Source organism: Homo sapiens, chromosome 4 (assembly GCF_000001405.40).
Source record: "Homo sapiens chromosome 4, GRCh38.p14 Primary Assembly".
NCBI lineage: Eukaryota > Metazoa > Chordata > Mammalia > Primates > Hominidae > Homo > Homo sapiens.
The window spans coordinates 72403270-72430105 of NC_000004.12; the positions used below are offsets into that span (position 1 = coordinate 72403270).

The 26836-nt window shown below is 35.0% G+C and overlaps 1 protein-coding gene across 3 annotated transcripts in view; it reads right to left on the reverse strand.

The window, feature by feature from the left end:
* Positions 1–26836, reverse strand: part of ADAMTS3 (ADAM metallopeptidase with thrombospondin type 1 motif 3) — a 288253-nt gene that overhangs the window by 122301 nt on the left and 139116 nt on the right. For all 3 annotated transcript variants that reach the window (NM_014243.3, XM_011532422.4, XM_011532421.2), the window contains exon 4: positions 11546–11702. In NM_014243.3, the coding sequence (NP_055058.2) occupies positions 11546–11702 (157 nt within the window). The remainder of the gene's footprint in view (positions 1–11545; positions 11703–26836) is intronic.

A 26836-nucleotide genomic window follows, 5' to 3' on the forward strand; every position in this document is an offset into this window, starting at 1 on the left:
GTATATGGCTTCATGGTGACCACATTAATACTATCTACTCTCTGATGTGCATAGATAACCCTAAGCAGTTTTAACAGTATCAAAAATAAAATATAATGTTTCTATATTCATGAAGAAAATTTGATTCCTTTTTACTCACACATAAAATTCTGTGGAATTTGGGATAAAACTCAATATCTGCAGATATTAGATGGAAAAAAAATAAGAGTCAAGTAGTATTAAGATCCCAAATTTGGATATACAGACAATCAGAAAACTGAAAATTCCAAGGTTCTCCTAGTTACTTATGATGTCAAAGCTATATTTGTGATGTTATAAGTGAAAAATCATGTGGTAAGGTGTGCTTGAGTTATGCAGAAAAATTTATTTTTTCTAACATTAATTTTATTCTTAACACTATTTTTTGCTATTTTGCATTTGACATTTTATCATTCCTCATCCCAACTTAGAGATAAAAAAATTTTTTAAAATAAAAAGCTCCTAACAAGAGTCCTTTCAGCAACCCTTGAACACATAGGGTTTCTGCAACTGTAACAATTTGAAACTACAACAACGTCAACCACATAAATATTAGAACTTGCACAATGGGAATAATTTTGGAAAATATTTCTCCCTGACTTTGTGTGTAGATAACCTACTTAATAATCAGCCCTCAGAAATGGCTGGGAGGCTTTGAGTCAATGGAGAGAAAAGGGAAGGGATGGAGAATATTACATACTAGAATTCTTGCATGAAGAATAAAAAAGAAACAAATAAATAGAAAGACATCCCATGTCCATGCGTTGGAAAAGTTATTGTTAAAACGTCCATACTGCTTAAAATACCCAATATGACCTACAGATTCTATGCAATCCCTATTAAGATGCCAGTGGCATTTTTTACGGACATAGAAAAAACAATTACAAAATTCCTGTGAAACCACAGAGGACCCTTGGTAGCCAAAATAATCTTTACAACAAAGAACAAAGCTGGAAGCATCATACTATGGGACTTCAAAATCTATAACCAAGCAACCATGACCAAATCAATATAATATTGGCATAAAAACAGACAGACTAATGGAACAGAACAGACAGCCCAGAAATAAACCCACACATATATGGTCAAATGGTCCTCCACAAAAATACACAATGGGGAAAGGAGAGTCTCCTCAATGAATGGTATTGGGAAAAGTGAATATACACATGCAAAAGAATGTAATTGAACCCTCATCTTACACCATAAACAAAAATCAACCCCAGATGGATTGAAGACTTAAATGTAAGAACTGAAACTATAAAACTCCTAGGAGAAAGCAAAAAAACTTCGTGATATTGATCTTCACAACGATTTGCTAGTTATGACCCCAAAAGCACAGGCAACAAAAGCCAAAATAGACAAATAGGACTACATCAAACTAAAAAGCTTCTACACAGCAAAGGAAAAATTAACAGGGTGAAAAGGAAACCTATAGAATGGGAGAAAATATTTGCAAACCATATATCTGATATGAGAATAATATCCAAAAAATCTAAAGAACTCCTTCAACTCAGTAGCAAAACAAACAAGCAAACAAAACACACACACACACACACACACACACACACACACAAAACACACAAAATAACTCGATTAAAGAATGGGTGAAGGACTTGAATAGACAATTCTTCTGTGTAAAACAGACCAACAGACATATGAAAAGATACTCAGCATCACTAATCAGGGAAATAACAATCAAAACAGAAGTGAGATATTACATAACACCTGTTAGAATGCCTGTGGTAAGAAAAATAAGTATTGAGGAGATGTAGAGAAAAGGGAACACTTGCACTGTTGGTGTGAATGTAAATAGTGCAGTTCCTAGAGAAAATAAACTATGTTGAGGCTCCTGAGAATATTAAAAAATAGAACTACCATATGATCCAGATATCTCACTTCAGGGCATATATCCAAAAGAACTGAAATCAGGACCTTGAAGAAATATTTGCAACCTGGTGTTCACTTCAGCATTATTCACAATATCGAAGATGTGGAAACAACCTAAATGTTCACTGATAGATGAATAGATAAAGAAAATGTGGTATATATATACATGGAATATTATCCTTTTAACAAAGGATAGATCTCATGTTAAGCATTCTTAACACAATATAAAAAAATATAAAGAGACTCAATATTCAGCTCCTGGATTCAAGTAATATTTAAAAAAAACAGATTTGTAAGCTAGGTTGTGTTAAGAGAGAAAGAATTTTCTTAATACTTAGTTCTCACACAGTACATTAATGGTAGGCCTGGAGACTATATCACAAACTTTTTAAATTTGTTTTGGTTTTGTTTTCCTGTTGGGTAGAGAAAGTCCTGTTTATCATAAGTCTTAGTCATTAGTCTGGATTAGTGAAGAAAAAGCATATAATTAGAAGAAGGAAAATACAAGCCTAGCCCTTTTGGTCTTAGGATGCCTCTGGATGAGGGAAATAAACAGAACTGGGAAGACAATGGTTGTAATTTCTTCCCAGTTCCCTTCAAGGCCAAGTCTCAGATGGGGAGAGATAGGATTAAGCATACAGGATTAAAATACAGGATTTTTACATACAGATTCAAGGGTCAGGCAGAGGTTCTTTAATTTGGATTAAAGAGGCTAAAATATGCAAATCATCAAGGAACTGTAAGAGCCAAAGCCTTTTCTCCTACTCTGTTTTGGAGATTCTGGAAGAACACTTTATGGGCGGCTAGGACATCACTCTGTTCACAATCTAAGAAGCTGTGACTCCCCACAATTCTTGTGCAACAAGAACAGCAATGTCTGAGTCTCCTGGGGAGCCTGTGAGAGAGGGCTGCTGAATCAGTGTCAATGTGGGTCCCATACCAGAAGCTGTGAGTGAGTGGATCATATAGGCTGGACAAATAGCAGTCCCAGCCATAACTCAGGGTGGTTTGCTGTACTAATGACAGCAGACTATATAGTCAAGCTGGCAGTAAATACCAACAGGGCTAGCAGATACCATGCAAAAAAGATAGCCAGCCCAGCAATGCCTACTTGGCCAGCCACAGGAACCCATACTATGGTTAATATAGGATAATTTCATATAGAAATTTTAATAGACATAAGATGCATTCAACATTGTAAGATAACGGAACTACTTTTTCCTGTTTTTTTCTTTGTTTTATCCTTGAACATTTGTAAAGAATTAATATGTACCACAATGAAATCCTTTTATTAATAAAATGACTGTTCATTTTGTAGTCTCTACTACTTATAGTAAATTCTTCGCTTCCCATTTACTTAATTCCTATTTGAAATATAAAACTTGAAGTTAATTCAAACTATCTGAGTTAGTTGCTTTAGTGTAGTTGTCATTAGGTAGTGAAAGGAAGAAATGGGAACGAATGATGCTTTTATGTACACTGCAAGTGGGCTGAGCAAATATTCAGGTCCTGAGTCTCAATATAATGGGGGCCACAATCAGGAAATATGACAAATCCAAATAAAGTAGGGTTTTTATTCCACAATAAGAATCCAGGTGATTGTTATAATAATTTTGTCCAATTTATGTGTTTCAAACTGCAAATCTATAAAAATAGTCCCAATATGTTTCAGAGATGCCCATTAATAATATGTGTAAGTCTGAGCTGGCAGCATTTTAGAACACTGCTTCCACATATTTAAGAGGAAGGGTGCTGGTGAGTGACAAAATGATACCCTGCAGAGAACTTAGATGATAGCAACCTAAGGTGAACCACACAAACGCTTCTACTGATTTTTCAAATGTTGGGTCACCAAAGAGAAAGGGATATTAAAGGAGACAAAAACAACATATCCCAGCCTGATTAACTTAATACCTTCTTTAAACATAATTAGAAAGATCCATTTACTGTACATAGTAGTGATGTCCACAAGGGCTTCCCATGAGACCTAGAAGCCAAGGCCAGGCATACTAAATGAGGAAAGACAATGTATATCTTCATATATTCCCATACTGGCTTTCCCTATATGTTATCCAAAAGTTAGGTATGATGAAATTAAAAAAAATGGTTCTAATACCCCAATTTCCATTAGTAGAAGACTCTTTAGGGACACTGTATTAATACAAGTATCATAGAACAGGACATAAAGAAAATCTGCTTTTATTATTTGTTTCACCTTTTGGTGAGACAAGAACCTCTGGGCTTAGACATGGCTTTTATCCCTGTAGCACATGGAATAAAACCTGACGAAACTTGAAAACATAAAAACAAAACCTGCCAAAGTGCTGATAAAGAGGACTGAACTTAGGGAGCAAAATATTTTAGTATCCCTGAGACTTGACAATAAAAGAATACATAGCAATTTGTAAAGCACACTAGAGAGAACCAAGGCCTTCCACAGGAAATGGGTGATAAATGCTTAGAACTAAAGACAGTCCTGTGAGAAAGAATGGCCACAAAGACTTAAGATGTTTGATATTATCAGAGCTCTCAAATAAAAAATATCTCAGGTCAAAAGCACTGAACAAGTTAGAGTGGGGGCATGTAAGTGGTTACAGTAGTTCTGAAAGATGAAAAAACTTCTTTTCATTCAGACTTGTAAAACATTTTTTTCATATACTTAGTAAGGTGCTGAAAGTACAGGAATATGCTGTATATAGTTGGTTGTTTATGACAATCTCAATACAATCTTATTGAGGGAAATAGCTCCAATCATTCCTGAAACAAATGCTTCCAGTATATAGTCCCAAATTCAAGAAATTCCACTGAGAAGTTTTAAATTTAGATATTTAGACCAGACAGGTTACAGTTGAAAATTAGAGTAAAATTTCTAGTATCTAGAAAGAACAAAAGCAAGTATTCAGCTCCTGTTACAAAATTATGCATTAAAGGAGCATTTGTTTTAGCCTATGTGTAGTTCTCACATTTAAATTGACAGTAAACTCATGTAAACTCAAACAATTTTCAAATAAAAATATTATTTCAGAGCCACATTTATTTTTCCCACATTTTCTTTTTCTTTAACAGACACCATCAACCTTTACCCCATATATCAGGAAGATGCCCGGTAGAAGACTCATATGAAAAAGATCCTCTGAAGACAGAGGGTAGTGAGAATAACCTAACTGAATCCTCCACAGAGACATAGGAGGTGCACACACACACATACACACACTCATGCACACACACAGACACACAATTTGCAAAATCCTAAATGAACATGTTCAAGAGTGGATAGTATTGATTCTCATAAATAAATATTATGTTTAAAGTTAATGCTTGATGATCCAGCAAGGAAAATAAAACAATGACAGGAAAATAAATGACATCTAATTTATAGAAAATTATCTTTTAAAAATATATTCAGCACCTGAGTTATAAATAAAAATGATGAAACAAAAGATTATTAAACCTCCAGAAACGTCTGGATTCCTAACACAAATGCTTCCCACTTACTAACATGAAAGTTTATAAATCATTGTACCTGGAAAAAAAAAAAAAGAAGTACAGGCTTTAAAATGTGGTTAACGTGGAATACTATGCAGCCATAAAAAAGGATGAGTTCATGTCCTTTGCAGGGATATGGATGAAGCTGGAAACCATCATTCTCAGCAAACTATCACAAGACCATAAAACCAAACACCATGAACAATAACAACACATGGACACAGGGAGGAGAACATCACACACCAGGGCCGGTCGGGGGGTGGGGGCCTAGGGGAGGGATAACATTGGGAGAAATACCTAATGTAGGTGATGGGTTGAGGGGTGCAACAAACTACCAGGTCACGTGTATACCTATGTAACAAAACTGCAGGTTCTGCACATGTAACCCAGAACTTAAAGTATAATAAAAAATAAAATAAAATAAAAATAAAATAAAATGTGGTTAAGGAGGCACGCTTGGCATGAGCAGAGTCAAAATGTACTCAAAATTTTTCTTAAAAAAGGGTCTATCCCTCCTAAGCAAAAGCAGTTGACATGCGAGAAAGCAAACACTACATTTTGATAATAGAGTGTGTTTTATATTGAAAAGGAGCAATTACATTTTAAATACTAGCAAAGCTTTTTCCTGGTATGAACTGCTTCCTCATGAATCAGTAATTGATACAGCTTTTTTCTGAGTAGGCAATTACTTAATTTAAGAATCAAGATCTGGCCCAAATTATCTGAATTGGCTTTCTACCCTGATGTATGTTTACTGCCTTCAATTTCACTTCAGTCAGTCAAACATATTTAAAACCTCCCAGTTCTCTTTCTCCATTAATGCAAGATCAAGAACTAAATAGTAATCCTGAGCTCTGAAGTCTCAACACATTTTGCGTCTTTTCATCTTCAATTCTTTATTGGAAAAAAAAATATAGAGTTACATTTGTAACACTTTAATCCTGGTCTATCTATCTCCTAAATAAGCTCTTTTCATTGAACCTATTCATACAGAGACAGAAGAAACTCAGTAAGGCAATTTAATGAAAAAAATAAAGTATTATCCTTTATGTTTCACATATGAAAGCTCTTTAACCTTCACTCTGATTCCTATTTTATGTAATAAGTCAATCTTCATATTGCCTTCATTTTGTCAATAATTGTTATAAATACCCCAACTGTGAAACATACAAAACTAACCAGACAACAGATTCCATAAATATGATTAGTATTTCCACATGAATTCAATAGTAATAGCCTTGACAAATGATTGGCTGCTAAATAAGATGATGCAGGTGTAAAAATTTTGTAATTTAACACTTACCCAAAATAATGATTGCTACTTGATCTTAGTAATTTAGTAATATTATGTTCCATACTTCATTTACTAAAAAATGTCTGCTGAAATTAATTTCTATTGTTCAATATTTGTGTGGGTTACAAAGCCCACCAATGATTCTCTTTGATTAGGGCATAGGTCATGAGAACTTCCAAATACAGCAGGTTAGAGTATATACTGACATGTCTACAGATTCAAGGAAGGGCTCTGGGCCTAGGAAGTCCCTAGGAGCAATAAAATAAGAAATAATCTTCTCGTTTTTCTAGTTCTTGTTTCATAGTTTCATTCCCTGGCAACCAGCAGCAACTCCCAAATCATTTCTGACTTCTACATGTTTCCCACCTGGGACAAAAACACGCCTTCACAGCACCATGACAACCACACCAGCAACACAAGCACTCGGGTTCATGCAGGAAAATGAAAATCCTGAAAGGAAGCTAGGAGATAAAGGCTCACTATTCCTTGTTTCCCACTGGTAGGATGTAATTACAAAAATTACTTTAACACAAAGCTTCTGGTGAATGAATAGTGGGTAATTTGAGGGGAGAAGCCTAGGGCCTAGGGATTAAATTAAAAATGTAAAATGCTGAATGATGTCATACAAGTTCAGCCACCTTCCCCCAAAAAAGTAGACTGCCTAAAGCAAACTCCTTAATGATGACAGAGTAAACATTCTTATGAGATAGGCAGGGGTATATTTTTTTACATGAGTTTAGACAAATGATTGATTTAATAGTAGAGGTGAAATTTATGACCCTTTAATTTTTATTAAGTATATTGTTACCAATTAGAGTTTCAAATATAATTTTGTCCAAATTAAAGAGTTTCAAAATGTCATTTCCATGCCCCTAAATCTGAAAAAGAAGCAAATTAAACATGCCTACCATGATGAAGTAGACAAATTTCTTTGTCATAAGCATGCCAAGTTTATGTTTTTTGTGTAATGAAAAGGATGCTATTCGTTTGCTAGAAACTGGCAGTGCTATGTGTTATGAATACTTGCCACTTCTGCACTAGAAGACACCATTATTTATATTGCCAAATGTAAAACTGCTTTAGATCTTATTCTTTAAAGAGTAATTCTAAAGCAGAGCACTGCATTTTTGACTTAAAAAAACATATTTTTAAACAACTCTTCATATGTTTCACATTGTGAAAACAATACAACTTTTCTATTAAGAGTCAAGGAAGAAGAATCCGCTATATATGGGATTGATTGATTGTTTTTGTGTTGTTGAATCGTACCATATGACACATTATCTTAACAGTTTCAAAGCTGTGACTTTTGTTGGAAACTCAGCTGAATATTCTTAGGTGACAGGAAATAGAAATAGATATTTTCATTTGGTCAAGCGGAATAGCTTAGGGCTCCAGAGTGTGGGAGAAGCACAATTTTTGTTTTGCTTCTAGTTTTAATCTTGTTTTCTGGAGACATAAAGTCCTCCTTATCTATAGCAAATATCTTTCATAGGCTCCCAATTCTGTGCAGTGTATACCTTCAGATTCTCAGTGATACACCTGAGAATGACAGAGTAGAAGGCAAGAAGGGGCATTCTAACCATCAACGAGCCAATAACTGCTACCTCACTCTCAAGCTAATCTCTACCCATCCCTACCACAAGAAATGTTTAGAAGGCCATTCATACTTTGCCTCTGGGACATGAATATGAAAATACACCATTTTGAAAATTCACTCAGTGTTCTAAAAGATCATCTATCCTAATCTACTCAAATTGGACCAACTTATCATCCTCCTTTATCAAGCCTATTTCTGTTTCTCATTTTATATACCTGAATTCTGGAAAGAGAATTCTCTAGTCTTCTAGATTAGAATTCTGAGTCCTCCTTAAACAATCTCTCTCTCTTTCCCCATGCCCTCCAACATCTATCCCATCACAAAACTCCATCAGTTTTCCTTCAATTTCTACCCACTTGGTTCTATCTCTCCATCATCTAGTTCAGGTCCTAATAGATTTTAATGTATAACACTTGCAACAAACTACAGAACTCAAATGAATGGCAGTTCTGAGGAACTAAACTGCCAAATCAAGAAATGTAGCTAGCCAATTACTGTGACAACTAGCAAAATAGGGCAGAATATTACATGGGCCTTACTGATGAAATCTTGCAGGGTCAGAAATGGCTTGCTTATGATCAAAACTCCTACTGATGACTTGCTGTCAGAGAAATGTATGGAGACCATGGTTCTCAAACACATTTCATTCCATGTAAGGCTTAGCTTATGGATTTTATTCCTCTTCCTAAATAACTCATTAAGAAAGACCTCATATGTTTCCTAAAATAAAATCTTGAATTAATCCAGAAAAGGCACTATTTTATATAGTGCTTTGGTTTTCATTTATAAATCAATATATCTTCCTAAACCTAATTTTTTTCAATTTTAAATTTTAAAATAATGGAATACATTACAAAAATATGTTCTTAATTTACAGTTGGAAGGTATTTGATCTATGAGAAGACTTGGCTCTCCATCTTGCTACCAAGAAGTTAAAGGAAGAATTTGAAAGTTCTGAATCTGAATCACTTGTTCCCCTAGGCAAGAGAGTTGCACTTCTAACATATATGGTTACAATTCAAGATTCTCAAAAGAAGGTAAATTCATATCACCCACAACTTAATTCAATCAGAACTTCATAAATAAGAAGGTGAAGATCATTAAGCTCATATTAACGTTTATCATGGAACATTTTAAGAGAACTGAATGATTCAATTTTGATTCAAGTTTTAAGGTAATTGAGAGGTGACAAAAGAACTCCTTTTGCTCTGACCCATGACCATTGAAACTTGTCTCAAAATATATTACTCTAGTTGGTGGCCTACTTCAACTATAATTGCAATCTTCTATTCATGACTGAAAAACTCAGTCTTCAGTGTCTGCATTATTAAAAAGAAATTTTAAGTAAACTGAGTATGTTGATGCTATTGAAATTGACATTTTAAATAATTTTCTAAAGCAATGTCCCAAATTTCTGTAATTCCATCCAATTCCTTTGTATATACATACGCTGTTAATTTCCCTATTCTATCATCTAAAAATACAATAAGTATTAAACATAATATTTCTTGTAACTTTATTACTTCAAGAAAAAAACTCTTCTTCTTATAAATATCAGACTAATGAAAAGTACTAGGGCTAATATTTATAGAAATAGATACCTTCAGGAATTGAAATGTAGTAATAGGGTACAGCCTGATGAAACTACAGTTATGACAGATGGACCTGATGGGAGGACAGACACAGTAACTGATCTGGCTTCCAGTTCTCCTATACAATTCCATAGCATGTGGCCTATGCGTTCCTAAAAAATATTTAACCATTGCTTTGAAAGAGGTATTAGGTATTAGTAATATGGAACAACCAAGATTTAGATATTAGTAATATGGAACAACCAAGAAAAATCACTCTAACCTACTATCTTTTCCTTAACATAACCAGTCTTCTGATTTAGAATAACATTTTAAGAATATGAAAATTGAGTATTCACATGAAGACAATGACTAATGCTTCAACTTTAACAAAACTCTTAACATGCAAACCTTCTGCAAAGATATTAAATATTAACAGGCAATTAAATAACAGCTAGCATTCATTAAGCACCTATTTTTGTTGAATACTACCTTCAGCAATTTGCATATACATCTAATATTATTACAACTGTGCAATATATATTACTTCTTTTTTCATTAAAAAACTGAGGCTCAGAGAGGTTAAGTACTAATCTAAGGTAACAGAACAACTTGGTGTGCAGAGCTATTATTACTCATACCAAGTCTAACTGCAAAGCCTCTACAGTGACTCTCTAAGCTAGGCATACATTTCATAATACTGTATTTATTAATATAGTCCTGTTGTTTCAAATGAGAAATTTCTTTAAAATTTTCAAGATATGTTAACTTTAAAGTTATCTTAAATTGCACTATTCTGTTCATAAATAATTTTAGGGGAAGTTAGTAGCATCTGAAAATCAAACTAATGACTAGGTAGCAAGTCTCAAAAGGCAATCTAGAAGACAAATTATTTCTAAATTACTTATATTTACTTATATCCATGTCATTTCCCTAAAAGAAAACTCTATTCTTCATTAAGAAAGTTGTCTTGGCAAATGTAAAGACTTCTTGAGATTTGGTTAAAAAAAAAATAGATTCCTAAATTTTTTTTTCTCCCCAAAGGAAATTTTATATCCAATGTATAAGCATATCTCCTTAATAGTAAGTTACTTTCAGGTTTCATTTAAACAAACAAAAATAGAAAACTTTGATGCAACATAATTTACTTGACTTTAGCAGTTCTAGCCTAATTTGAAATAAAATTCCACAGAAGAATTTCATTCATTGTCTCCTCCATCTAGTAAAAGTTTTGCCAAATAGATTTTAAAGACAAGTGGCATATTATTTTCAAATATATCCATCACACTGGTCTTAAAACAAAAAGCAACTGTTTGCCATCCTAGTATACATCCTTTAAAAGGTTTAAAATAACAGTGATAATTCATAATTAAGATACTTCTGTAAAATACAAACCACAAAGATTTTCAAATTTTAACATAAGCTAGAGAACCAATAGTTTTAATATAAAGGTATTAAAAGAAGTCATATCAGGGATATATAACACACTGGAATAAATATCTGTAACATATACTCTATGCATTTTTTAAAAAGCAAGCCACATTTCATGATTTATAAATGTAAACTTCTTTTTCTATCTCCGCGTTATACAAGAGAACATGGCAATCACATTCTCTTACTTGATGGGAGAGTTGTTTTCATCATATCTTAAAATTATATTTCATTATTAAGCTTTGTCAAGACGCCTACCTCTGTAGTGGAAGTCTTTGGACATGTCTATGGGAGCCTGTTCTACAGCTGATCTCTTGTAGACAACATGAATCCTTCCTTTTTCTTCCTCCATCTGTTTACCTCTTTCCAAGGGTTCAATGAAATACTCTTCATTATCACTTTTTATCATTCCAGCCTAGAGAAAGCACAAAATGTGTTAATTTAAAAAAGAAATATCTATCATCTTCAGCTCACAAGCACATCTTTTTAAATGTCAAGAATATGACTTGTGAAAACTAACGCTTTTTCTTTCCACATTTGGCCATAACTTAAAATAGTTTTATTAACTATCAATAATTAATTCATATAAGGTAGAAATTCACATATGACAGAAATGAAAAATTCATATTAAGGTATTACGGAATACAAAATTTACATAGGATAAGAATAGGGAAATCATACAATGTATATATTTTATCAAACTGCAAAATAAGTGCATTTATATATTCTACTTGGTATTTTATATCTAGTAAGAATCATATGGGACACATAAATTCAAAAAATCTCTAATTTCCCAAAATAACCCATTGTGGAGCAGTGGTCCAAACGTTACATACATTTTTACTTATTTACATCTTCCCACCAAACAAAGTGGCATGAGAGAAATGAGTTCCATGCTACCTTCAGTATGTAAAGTTATTTCTTTAAAATAGTCTCATTAAGCTTCTGTGGAAATCCCCATTTCTAAAGTTTATTCATTTGAAGAACTAACTCATATTTGTCCTAGCTTAATCTAACTTTATGATTTAAATTATAACTTTAATATTATATATATATATCCCCCTCAAACTGCATCCTTTCACACTGAAAAGCCTACTCTTGCTTTCAATTCCTTCCATCTCTCTATTTATTGTTTTCTGATTCTGTTTCATCTTTTAATTATTCAGAAAACACCAGGGCTATAGCCAGTACTATAGCTGAAGAAAAATGATGTTTTTTTCTAAAATGCGATATTTCTTAAACATCAAGTCCACATTACAGTCAAGTAGTTGTGGCTCGTGTTTCTACTTTAAACATCATACAATAATACGAAATATTAATTTAAATATAAGCACATTTATTTGAAAACAAAATTCAAACAAATAATGTCTTAGTGTGGAAACTGTACTTATTTTGGAAATATATATCAGATTTAGAGATGCCATATTTTTTCTCAAACCTTTAACTTATTCTGTATTTTCACACAAGAGGTCACTGGCTCTCATGTAACACAGACAAGGGAGGAGTTTCTTACTCCTTCGAACTATGTTGATGTCTTTGCCATTATGCTATCAAGCAACATAGAAATAAAAGGGAGGTGTCCTTTACCAAAGAGCATATGTTTTCAGCAAATATAAATATAAATATATATATTCATATATGTATATAAATAAATAAATATATATATATTTAGCAAATATGCCTATGACTATAGCTTTTCTGTCACACTCAAATCTGTCCTTTTCCTTTCTGTTCTGACTTCTACACCTGGGTATAGTATTTCCCTTCTTTCCCTTTGTAAGCCTCACAGGGAATTCTTAAAAGCTATGCCATCTCCATATGCCACTTCTACGCTTGCCTTTATGATGTGCACATACAAACAGCCCTGGAACCTATGCGACCGTGTCTCACAAGAAAACATTACTACAACTCTTCTACTATTCTTGGCCCATACCCTCTGGAACAAACCTCTAGCTTTCACTTAAAAGAGCATTGAGCTAGTGGGTACTTAGTAGTAATGCTGATCTTCCAGATACTCCAATAATTGGAGTTTCTTTCCTTATCTGACTAATTACTTTATACTTAGTCATGTACTATGAAATGCACATATTTTTCAAAAGTTATATAATTATTCCCTATTCAGAGTTGTTCCTATTGGTTAATGGATTCACCTCTTCTACAAATATAATTTCCAACATCTTCCTCATGCTTTCAAATTTTAATTTTAATCTATTCTATATTATGGTCATATTATTTTATCTCCTATTACCAGTACTTTCAACACTCACTGCTATTGGCCTTCTCAGGCATTAATTAATTAATGTCCATAAAATACATCCAAACTAAGCACAAACACAGTAAATGTATAAAAAGTTAATAAAATGTATAAGGATAAAATGTTATCTCATCCCTAACACCATCTGCTGGTAGCAAAAAGCGTGAACCGGCTTTATCCCAGAAAGATAGGTCTGTTTAAATATATGGAAGTTTATAAGGTGAAGTGCATCAGCATGGGAGTTTCAGTATTCATCTTTATTACAGTCTTTTCTTTGCCCCAAATCCGCTGTCACTGCATTCTGTAACATCTACATTATTCGCCCATCCTCCTAAGTCCACTAACATTTCCTTAGTTATAAACATCATCATTGTTTATTCGGATTACAGAAACTCCCTATCTTAAGATTTTCCAAAGATCATAATGATTCTCCCAGATGAGTGCCTGACTCAGGGAAGAAACAGTGCCACTGAAGCGGTCAGCGACTCTGAGCAATGCGCAATGGCTATTGCAGTCACTTGAAAGTGATAGGGAGGGCAGTGAGGATTAGCCCATGGGTCTTTTGAAAACACTTCTCCATACCTGCTATGGCAAACATTCAAATTTCAGGCCACATGATGTTATTTTACCCCACTAAGCCACAGGTAAAACAAAATTCAACACAATTAAACATCTCACTTAGAAAGCAAAGAAAATTTAAGTCAAACTGAGTCAGTATTAGTGACAAGGCAAGAGTTGGATCAAGTGACATCCATTAACTCCATGGACCCAAAATCTGAAAGTCGGCCCTTTTATTTATTAATTTAAGTAAAGTTTAATGAAAGAAAGTACTTATATAGGCTGGGCGCAGTGGCTCACACCTGTAATCCCAGCATTTTGGGACGCCGAGATGGGCGGATCATGAAGTCAGGAGATCAAGACCATCCTGGCTAACACGGTGAAACCCTGTCTCTACTAAAAATACAAAAAAAAATTTGCCAGGCGTGGTGGCAGGCGCCTGTAGTCCCAGCTACTCGGGAGGCTGAGGCAGGAGAATGGCGTGAACCCGGGAGGCGGAGCTTGCAGTGAGCCGAGATCGCACCACTGCACTCCAGACTGGGCGACAGAGGGAGACTCCATCTCAAAAAAAAAAAAGTAAGTACTTTATATAAAGCACTGTACTAAATATACTAATAAATGAGAAATCCTGCAAGACAGTTCATTTGTCCTCATTTGATTAAATCCAGTTGAATAAATAAAATACATGCCTACTGAAATTCAATGAGTATGCTATGGAAAGTGCAGAAAAGTAATTGACAGGGCAGTTGATAGTAAAATCAAGTAAAATTTTTTTCCTCCATAATCTCACCAGACACAGAAAACTGTTAGTAGGAACAGTTGATTTTTCACTCGAAATTATCTAGTATCTATTTCAACTGAAATGTTCCTAGTCCACATCACAATAAACCTTCGCTTTGGCCACTGTTACTGTCCACATGATCTACATATTCACATAGTGTGGCAGCCAAAATTGCCCTTTAAAATTATCATATTAAATTTGGACAAATCTGAATTTGGTAGCAAGTGGAGCAAGCATGTAAGGGCTCAAAACATCAGGTGCTTCTTTCTCACTCACATAAAGCTCAGGATGGTTTTGGATTGGCCAGGAAAGGTTTCTACTCCACACAATCATCCAGGAGTCCAGGTTGACAGTGGCTCTATCATCTTAATATAAGCTTCCAGTATTCCTAGTCAAAACAGGAAGCAGTATGAGGGAGCCCACATGGGAAATTTTTATGAGCTAGCCCTACTCATGGTATTCACCATTTCCACTTACTGCCACAGATAGGATACAGTTGCATGGCTCACAGCCAGCTGCAAAGAGGGCCAGGAAATGTAATCTGGCTGTAAGCCCAGGCAGAAGAGACAAATGGATTTTGATGAACAGATGGAAGTCTCAACCTCCAAAAAGATCATGCCACTCCTTTGCTTAAAACACTTTAATTGCTTCCCATTGCACTTAAAACTGCACTCATTACTTTGGCCTTTAAGGCCCACGTCATCTGCGCTGCCCACCATCCTCAAGTTTGCCATTCTCAGTGTCCTCACGAGGCCCCAACCTCAGGGGATTTTGTTCAATTTTCTTTTTCTTTTTCTATTTCCAAGGTCCTTATAACATCAGGTCTTTGCAATGCCATTCATTCTGCTTAAAGAGCCACACCACACTTCCCTAAGCTGGCTGGTTTTTATTCTCCAGGCTTCAACTTAAATGTTATCTCCTTAAAATGATTTTCTTACTCCCTCACCTCACAAAAATGAGGTGCCCCCGTCTAAATTAGATCCTCTCTTAGCCAATTATTCTAACTGAAAATAATGTGTTCTTTTCTCTCCTGGTCCTTAACACAAATTTCAAGGGTGTATTCAGCTGAATGTGAAATTTATGGTTCTCTGTCTCCCCTGTGGAACTGTTAGCTACTAAGGCACATATATCTAGCTTAGCTCACCTTTGAGCCTTAAGCTCCATCAAAATTGCTCGCACAAAATATGTATTCAATAAAGTTCTGATGAAAAATTACATGAATGAGTGAATGATACAAATGAGGGAATGAAGAGCTTTTAGACTTTTGGTGATTTTCCAAATATGGGAGTATTGCTATAGTGGGGATAGAATAGAAGGAATTAGAGGTGAGGCCGTTCAGGGTGGAGCAAAGGTTCTAAAGCAAGCTTGTCCAACCTGTGTCCTGTGGGCCACAGGCAGCCCAGGACAGCTTTGAATGCAGCCCAACACAAATTCGTAAACTTTCTTAAAACGTTATGAGATTTTTTGTGATTATTTTTAAGCTCATCAGCTGTCGTTAGTATGAGTGTATTTTATGTGTGGCCCCAGACAATTCTTCTTCCAATGTGGCCCACGAAAGCTAAAATACTGGACACCCCTGTAAGTACAAAAACTCCTGGCACACATGTGGACAGCAAGCAAGCTATTCATTCAGGGAAGAGTTCATGCAGGGGGGCTCCAAAACAATGCCACGGAGGACTATTAGTACTATCTTGGGTCAGAATTTTAACATGTAGAAACAGAGACCCAAAAAATAAATAAATAAAAAAGAATGTTGATCGGATGGACTAGAACAAAATACTATTTTCATATTTCTCTGATGATTAAGTGCCAGATGGAAGCAAGCAAGAAGCTAAAATAACAGTCCAGATAGCAAAAGTGGCAATGGGAAGAGAAAAGGGCAGGGGAGTGGGGAAAGAATTAATTTAAAAGTGATTTCAGGAAAAAAAAAGTGGTACCTTTTAAAATGTAAGCTCCTCTATTCAAAACTTTCGAAGGTCTCCCCTTCTCACCTAGATTAATAACCAAAGTTCCTACCGAGTCCACCTAGGCCCTCCCTCATCTCAGCATCACTGCCTTCAAGACTCCATCACCGCCTTCAAGACTCCACCACCTCTCCGGCCTCATCTGCTCACTCTCTTCCTTGCTGGCTTCACTCCAGCCATGATGGGCTCCTTGCTGATTCTTGAATACTTAAGGGGTGTTTCCCCTTTAAGACCTTTGCACTGGCTCTTTCCTCTACTTGGAATCCTCTTCCCCTAGGACTATGCATGGCTAACATTTTCACCTCCTTTAAGTCCTTGCTTAGGTGTTGCTTCTCAAAGAGCATACACGGACTACCCATCTGCTTCTCAACCCAGCACCCCAAGCCTCTTTCTCTACACTGTTGTTTCCACTGCACTTACTGTCCTCCGACACACTCGATCACTTAACTGCCTATCATGTTCATTGTTTATTGTTAGTAACCCACCACTGCCCTTCTGGTCAGGAATTACTTCTTGGTCTGCTTTGTTCAGCTTGTTCAACTATTTATCTCAAGTGCTTAAAGCAATACCTGGCATAAACTAGACACTCAATAAATACCTGATAAATGAAAAAACAACAAAGAAGGAAGGCATAATCTAACCTTAGTTTTGAAGTTGGATGACTATGAAATTAATGTTTTCATTCACAGAAACAGAAAAGCCAAAATGGCAAGCTGACTGGAAGGCAGGAGAAAAAGTTAATGCGTTTTGTTTTAACCATTTTCTTGAAATAGTGATGGAAATTCCCAGCATTCAGTGGAGAAATACAGAATTGTAATTAAGAAAAAAAAAAGTCATAACCGCAATGGATTTGGGATACATCTTCTCAGGGGCAATAGCTAAAGCTGTTAACAGAAATGAAGAAGAAAAGTTCATAAAGAGATTTGAGGGAAGGTCAATAGAGAATCCTAGGAAATGTCCATATAACGTTAGGAAACTGTCATATAGGAAATTCCTAAAATCTAAACTCTAGACCATGGCCTATAAGGCCCTCCATGTCCTAGCCTTGTCTATTTTTCTGGCTTCTAACACTTTATGCCTTGCTCTTTCTGCTCTAGCCACATGGTCCTAGTCCCACTGGTACTACCCCACTTATATCAATTAGCATCGCTTTCACTCTCTATCCTAACTTTTTCCCTTCCAGCATGGCTAGGTGATTGCCTGGCCCAATTCAGTATATAAGCTTCACATGGGCATGGGCTTTGCCATATTCACTGCTATGTCATATCCCAGGGTCTAGCACAGTGCCTGGCTCAAAGTAGGTGCATAACACTTGAGGGAGCATGGGAGAAGAAATCAATGTAAGTTATGGACAGGTGAAAATAAAACACCTTAGATTTAGAAGGAAGCTGAAAAGGAATGATGAGAGACATGAGGAAACCCAAGAAGAGTGTCATGGGCACCTAAGTAGGAGAGAGTTTTGTCAAAGAAAAAGTAACTGCAGTGAAGAAGACGCAGAGAATGAAGTCTGTGAGAAGGAAACTAGACATGTAAAAACATTTAATTAGAGTAGTGGGGGCTGAAGAGATATTACAAGGAGTTACAGAAAGACTTAAGTGTCAAAACCACATGTTTTTCAGATCCCAGAATATTCACAGCCATTAGAGGTAGATTCTTCTGCACCTCTTCCCGTCACACTATATTAATATTTCTCTGAGTAGCTATCAAAATTGGAGTGACTATTTTTAAAGTACCTGAGATTTTAGACAGGACTGTCCTATACATACTTAAGAAAGGAAAAAAATCACCAGTACTAATAACTAAATAGTGAAAGTTCTTTTATCCACTAGAATGCCCATTTAGGTAGTCATGCATTCAACAGATGTTTTGAGAAACTCAAAGACCATGCACTGTCATACATAACCTCAATAAAAAATTCACATTCCTGCTCTCAGGTCTGCAACATTTTATTTCACAGGATACATTTAGTACATATGACAATGAAATGACTTACAGGAATAAGTGTGCATAAAATTCTAAGTACTACTATTATTTATAATGACACCAGAAATTTATGACTTAGAAATTTTTAGAAGTGTCATGCCTACAATTATATATTCTCCTGAGGGATTATGTTTAAAAAGATGCAACCATTTTTAATTTTCATCCTTAATCTCAATTAATTGGCATACAATATCAAGATAATGTTTTATAAATTTCCCTATATAACATAAAGTCCTTCACATAAAGTCCTGCATTGATATATGCAGAGATTCTAATCTCTGCAATGATACATGAAATATTTAGTTTCCCAAACTATTTTCCAAAATTTAACACTAATTTTTTTTAAATATTTATTTTTAGTATAGCATTAAGCACATTATGTTAAACATATTTTATTTTGCTTTAATTCTTCATATAGGCCCTCTGACAGCATTTCGGAGGGGATATTTATAAAACAATGATGTATGCTAAAAAGCCAGCTGCAAAATTCCCCTCATTTGGTCAACTCTTCCAGCTACATCACTCAACTCAAACACTGCCAAGAGTTCAGAATTAAGTCAGATAGCCTCAGATGATGAAAACAGCGATCACAAAGGCCACACTCCTTACTCACTAGGAGGGGTCCTCACAGCCATATTTGAAGCCCAATTATAATAAACTAGGTTAGATGGTTTTCTAATTCTCATCAGAGCATAAATGGCAAATGGGAACAAGGGGTGTGGGATATAGAGAGTTTCAGATGAGATAATGTCTATGAATGCCCTTTATAAACTACAAAGTCCTACAAGAAATGTAAAACACTAGTTTTTATATGTCTATAATAATAAAAATCAGTCATCAAGAGAAGACTAAATTGTGTTTAAGACAAAAATTAGTCTAAGTGACATTTTTAAAAAAGTTCCATCAAAAATTACAATGTTTTCTTAAAATTCTGTGCCAAATATTCTAAAAAACTTATGCCATGGACACCTTCCATTTCTAACTGTGACAACTAAACGTGGTTTTATTGCAGTTCTTCTCAGATCCGCTAAGGAAAGAGAATAGAGATGGGTAGCTTTTTTTGGTGCCTCATGAAATAGGTACCAATCATTTAATATAGAATTGCAGCTGAAACTAAATATTTATCATTTTGTGCTAAATCTGTTACAACCTTATACTAGTTCATAGCACAGAAATGCATAGTAAGTTTTAAATGTCTGGAAAAGATGCTGAAAAAATATATATCAATATTGTGTGTGTAAGACGGAGAATACATGTAAATATAATAGTCTAGTAAGACTATCATTATACCTTAGTGGTACAACAACATTATTTTAGTTCGCTAAGGTTCTCTAAAAACACATTCTGTGAATCACCGTTTCACTGTTATTTCCTCAAACATCTGTTCTATCAATGTTCCAAGCAAACACATTGTCTAATTCCATTTACAATGAGAATGGACAGATTTTTTTTTCTTTTTTTTCTTTTATTATTATTATACTTTAAGTTTTAGGGTACATGTGCACAACGTGCAAGTTTGTTACATATGTATACATGTGCCATGTTGGTTTTACTATATGCAGATGATTTCTAAATATTTCCTGAATTTCAGGCAACATTTCAATGGCCTCTCCAGAATTTCTGCAAAGGAAGGATTGAGGAAGGTAAAGTGGTTGAGAAGGGCTGGAAAGTAGAATGACTAGTATTGATCTGAAGCTGTATTCGCAAACCAAAAGTACTATCTCTCTACTTAAATAAAAGAAACTCAACTATTGAGATGCATTTAGACAGAGTATATAAAGAATAACAGTAGCTGGAATAGCCCCCAAGCCATGCCTTCAATTTCTATAAAGCTTCCCCTTATTTTAAAGCCAGAGGGAATTTTTATCTCTTTTGAACTCCCAGAATTTTATCTATATTTCTATGGCATTTATCACTGTCAACTTTGTATTACAATTATTTATGTTAACTGTGCTGATGCCTGGAAATTAAGAGATGTTAAATAAGATGTTAACTGTACCCAAATATAAACCTGATTAAATGCCAAATTTACATTTGAGTTTAGCTGGCATTTCATTCAATAATAACCCTTCCAGATGCTTTCTGTTATCTCGAAAGCATCTCCTGCAAATGGCTAGAGTCCTACGTTAAAGAAAAAAATAAACGATAATGCCATCTGAACCCACAATTCAATTAATTGCTAAAGCAAATGAATCTAACCTTAACCAGGAACATTAGACATTACCATTTCAGTTCCCTAATGAGAGGGCATAACCTCCAACCCTCTGCTGCCTGGTTCTTATCAAAATACAGGCGGCAAAAAATAAAATTTGAGAAATATTTCCTGAAGGCTAAAGGATTTTCTATACATCCATTCTAATTCCTCTAATTTTCCCTAATCTCCATTACCAAATCCTGCTTCCATTAAGCCAGGCCACAGTTATTTGGGCTCCTAATAGAATTGATTTTATTCAACTATACTAAAATGCTAAAACGCCTGCCTAGAATGAACATGATTACACAAAAAGAGCCCTAGGAAGCTCATTATTGTAATAACAGTGCATTTGTCATTGAGGACCTTTCTCAATATCATACCCTGTTTGTTACATGAGAGTCTTGGGGGAAAAAAAATCACAGACTTCAGTAACAGGAACAGTTTTTCTTCTCCCAAGAAACTAGTTCATTTTTATTACAAACACTGAATACTACATAACTAATCAGTATCTGAAAGAAAACTCAGAGTCAAATCTGTATCCTACTTGTAGGACAGTCTTGTGCCATAAATCCTTGGATACTAACTTTTTATTGGAGGTTATTTTTTCTTCTTTTATTTTCTCTTCTTGCTGACTTATTATATTGTCAATATTTTATTGTATGAATGTATAGGTTGCTACATATTCTTTGTCATATTGAAGAGGGTAGGTACTTGTTGAATGACATATAAGTCCTATATTTCAAGCTAAAGCTACAACAGCATTATAGTTTAACTGATGTGAAACAAGAAAGCATATTCTTCCAGAAATTTGTGAATTATGGGATTAAATGTATTAGCAATGCTTGGCATTATCCAATATTTCACAAATATATGAGTATTCTCAGAAAAAGTTGAGGAAGCATAAATTATTATTTGTATTATTCTTAGGAAAATGACAATTCATAAGCCTAAATCTTGCTTTTCTTTAATTTCTTAATGATTCACACTGTCCAATGGTCACAAAAATATAAAATATATAAAACATTTATTTTTAATTTGGGCATTTGATTCTTTTTTTTTATACTTTACATTTTAGGGTACATGTGCACAATGTGCAGGTTAGTTACACATGGATACATGTGCCATGTTGGTGTGCTGCACCCATTAACTCGTCATTTAACATTAGGTATATCTCCTAATGCTATCCCTCCCCCTTCCCCTTACCCCACAACAGGTCCCGGTGTGTGATGTTCCCCTTCCTGTGTCCATGTGTTCTCATTGTTCAATTCCCATCTATGAGTGAGAACATGCAGTGTTTGGTTTTTTGTCTTTGCAATAGTTTGCTGAGAATGATGATTTCCAGCTTCATCCACGTCCCTAAAACGACATGAACTCATCCTTTTTTATGGCTGCATAGTATTCTATGGTGTATATGTGCCACATTTTCTTAATCCAGTCTATCATTGTTGGACATTTGGGTTGGTTCCAAGTCTTTGCTATTGTGAATAGTGCCACAATAAACATACGTGTGCATGTGTCTTTATAGCAGCATGATTTATAGTCCTTTGGGTATATACCCAGTAATGGGATGGCTGGGTCAAATGGTATTTCTAGTTCTAGATCCCTGAGGAATCACCACACTGACTTCCACAATGGTTGAACTAGTTTACAGTCCCATCAACAGTGTAAAAGTGTTCCTATTTCTCCACATCCTCTCTAGCACCTGTTGCTTCCTGACTTTTTAATGATTGCCATTCTAACCAGTGTGAGATGGTATCTCACTGTGGTTTTGATTTGCATTTCTCTGATGGCCAGTGATGATGAGCATTTATTCATGTCTCTGTTGGCTGCATAAATGTCTTCTTTTGAGAAGTGTCTGTTCATATCCTTCACCCACTTGTTGATGGTGTTGTTTGTTTTTTTCTTATAAATTTGTTTGAGTTCATTGTAGATTCTGGATATTAGCCCTTTGTCAGATGAGTAGATTGCAAAAATTTTCTCCTATGCTGTAAGTTGCCTGTTCACTCTGATGGTAGTTTCTTTTGCTGTGCAGAAGCTCTTTAGTTTAATTAGATCCCATTTGTCAATTTTGGCTTTTGTTGCCATTGTTTTTGGTGTTTCAGACATGAAGTCCTTGAATCTGGGCATTTGATTCTATGTTGCTGTGGATTCTGTTTATATTAATAAATGCACATACCCAAACTATAATCTCACTCATCTTGGCAGAAGACATATCTGAACCAAAACAGCATGCTTTCTGTTATTTATTTCCTTTCATTGATTTGTAAAATATAAAAGCAAATCAAACAACAATATAACAATAAAAAACTAAATTAGCTTGGCGAAGTGCTTCATGCCTATAATCCCAACACAGTGAGAGACCAAGGATGGTGGATCACTTAAGCCAGGAGTTTGAGACCAGCCTAGGCAATATAGTGAGGCCCTGTCTCTACAAAAATAAACAAATAAATTATCCAGGCATATAGGCATGTACCTGTGGTCCCAGCTACTGTGTTGAGAGGCTGAGATGAGAGGACTTGCTTGAACCCTGGAGGTCAAGACTGCAGTGAGCCATGATTGCACCACTGCACACCAGTCTGGGCAACAGGGCAAGACCCCATCTCAAAAGAAAAGAAAAAATAAAAAACTGAATCAAAGCAGTCATCCACTCTACTTCTTTCTAGGGTGATTTTTCCTAAAAATTAAATTAGGTGGGTGGAAAAAAGGATCAGCCCTATATTGTTTTTCTATTGCTGCCATAACAAATTGCCACAAATTTAATGGCTTAAAACAACACAAACTTATCTTTCAGTTCTGTAGATCAGAAGGCTGACTGGTGTCAAGGTGTTAGCAGGGACAATTTCCAAAAGCTCTGAATGCACTGGTACTATTCTCTTTCAACCTAACTTCTCACACATGCCAGTTCCACTCTTTCTCAACACCCCTTAGATCCCATTGAATTCATTAATCATTCCCAGGCTACACTCCTCCCAATTCTAATGTAACTGCAGAGAGCCTAAGCTGAAAGTTTCAAGAACTTCCTACTTGAGGTGGGAGAGTGGGGTCCAAGAAATTCCATTACATTCCCCTTTTGAGTGTCAAACACTTCTTTCCAAGTCTCTGCTGGTATCAACCACAGCCAGTTATGTCAATGACCTTTTTATTCAGCTGATTATGTTGGAGGTTCTCAGGTAAGCTCTCTGTTCCATGCAAAATGACATCATGAGGAATAGAGGTAAGGCACAAGAATGCATTTATCAGGGCTCTCTGCTGTAACACCTTGGCCAAGAGGAATAGAGAAAGAGATGAGTAAAGAAAACCAATCTGCAACTCAGAGCTGGAAAACAGCAGAAGGAAAAAAACAGAGACAAAAAAAGAAGAAAAAAAGAAGAGAAGAAAGGTTAGTTCAATCAATCTCTATGTTCCAAATTCAGAGGGTTGGCAAAATGGAAGAGAGAAAGAGCACAAGTGAGAGGCAAAGAGACAGGACATGAACTTCTGAGGAGTTCTTCTGCCTTTTACCGCACAGTAAATATCCACTCTAACCCTTCTCCTCTCCTAGTATGTTACATGCCTATTGTAGATGTGCTGCAACACACACAATATATCTGTTGCTAAAATTCCATAAAGAAAGGTAAAATATTGAAAAATGTTAACGTACAGAAAAGAGTGGATTTTTTCTTTTGTGAAAGAAAATGAAGTTTAAAAAAATGAAATTAAGCAACAGTTTAAGGACCTTTGTCATTTAAGAGTCAGTTTATTAACTGAACACCTAAAAAAACATTATGGGTACTGTGGCTTACCCATCGCTATTGTACTTGTGCAATTACAGGGGGAAAGGATGGGGACACAAGAAGTGAGGAAGAGGAAGAATGTTATGAAGGAAATTGAGTTTGAAGATGAGTTGAAGTAGAGGTTCCACCTACCCCAATTTTCTGAAAGTCTTAATAATCTCTAGTAAAATGCTTTTCGTAAGTGTTTGACATTTATGAAATCCATGGCATATAAAATTTTATTCATTAAAAAAACTCTTAGCTACTTTTCATAAAGAGTATAAATTGTTGCTTACTGTATCTGTTTTAGTTTTTCATGTTGGGCTTTTCATGTTAAGATATTTTACCTAGCAATTTTCCTTAGTCATGATGAGGTTTATTAGGATGTGCAAGAAAACCTCTATGAAAAGACTTATATTGGATGGCTAAAGCCATAGTAGGATCAAAGACTGTAAACAATTTTATTAACCTAGTCAATTCAGCAAACCAAGAACTGCTGATTAAATGCTCATTTTTTTATGCTTTCCATATTAACATACCTAATTTCCAGGCTAAAAGATAAGATTAATCCTCCTTGTTTTTGGCATAAAGGAGAAACCCTAGCTTGGTTGATACAGGATTTGGGTTCTGGTCACAGCTTTGCTATTAACTAGCATTACTTGTGAAAAGTCATTTAAACTCTCTGGAGCTCAGTTTCATAATCTAAAAACTTAAAAGAGTTTTACTAGATAATCTCTAAGATGTCTCCCAATTCAATTACTCTATTATTTAAATTATATTCTAATATTAGAGCTCCCAAGACATGAATTTGAAAAGCTGCTCCCTGCCAATATCCCGAAACCCACTTATTCCCATAATAAATAATTTAAAAGATGATTGTAAGACTCATATACTTAACTCCTTAAGAAAGTAGGTCGCAAACTTTAGTGTGCCAAAGAATTTAGGTCCCAACCTCAGAGACTTTTCCATGTTCCAACTCCAGAGAGTCTGATTCAAAAGGACTGGGATGGTGATCAGAAATCTGCAGTTTTAACAAGTACTTCAGATGCTACAAATAGTAGTTGCCTGGAAATCATAGTTTGAGAAAAACTGCCTTAAAATTAATGTGCCAATCAAAATGAACTTTTGGATGTTTATTCTTTTGCTCCAAAATGAATTTTAAGATGACTATTTAAAGAAAACATGAATAAATGGAACCTATGAATTCAACTATATGTAATAATCGAAATACATAATAGTCATCTGCTAAAGATATAGTAAGTCCTATATACATTTCACAGATTTTTACAATTTTATAGAATAACTCAAGGTGTCTTAACAGATATTTTATAAAAAACGTATTCTTTCATTCAGTAGAAAAGCGATATCTACCAACAGTCAGTTGTTATAGGAGGGAAAAAGCTTTAAAAGATCCAACAATTAAAAAATAGTTTAAAGGAAACGTAAAATCCAAAATAACCTAACTTTTTGATCTTAGACATTATTCAAAAAAGCATTATTAAACATACCAAAGTGCATGATCATCCTGAACCTTCCTGAGTTAAGGAGATTAGTGACTGATAACTATTAAAGCTAGGATTATGCATTATATTACATTTTGAGGATATGTATTAAAGATATAGTCATTGCTCCTAAAAAGATAAGCTAGATTCTAATCAACATTAATAGGCTTAAAATTAGTAGTGACAGGTATAATTTAAAGCATAGGAATTCTGTGTGGGTAAACAGGAATTCAAACCAGATCAGTTCAACTATTCCTTCGGCGCTTGCTATTTTCCTTCTGCAGTTGGGTGAATATAGAAAAGACCATATCATGGTCAACATCTCCTGGACAGTGTTTTTCAAACTTTAAAGTGTAAATAAATCACCTGGAGACCTTGTCAGAACACAGATTCTGATTCAGCAGGCTAAGATTCAGTATTCCTAATAAATGCCCAGGTAACACTGATGCTTCTGCTCCCTGAACAACGGTTTAAGTAGCAAGGCCTCAGGGCATTTGAACCCTATTGTGTTGAAAAAAGAAAATCCCATGAATCAAATTAGGTCACTGTGGCAAATTGTAT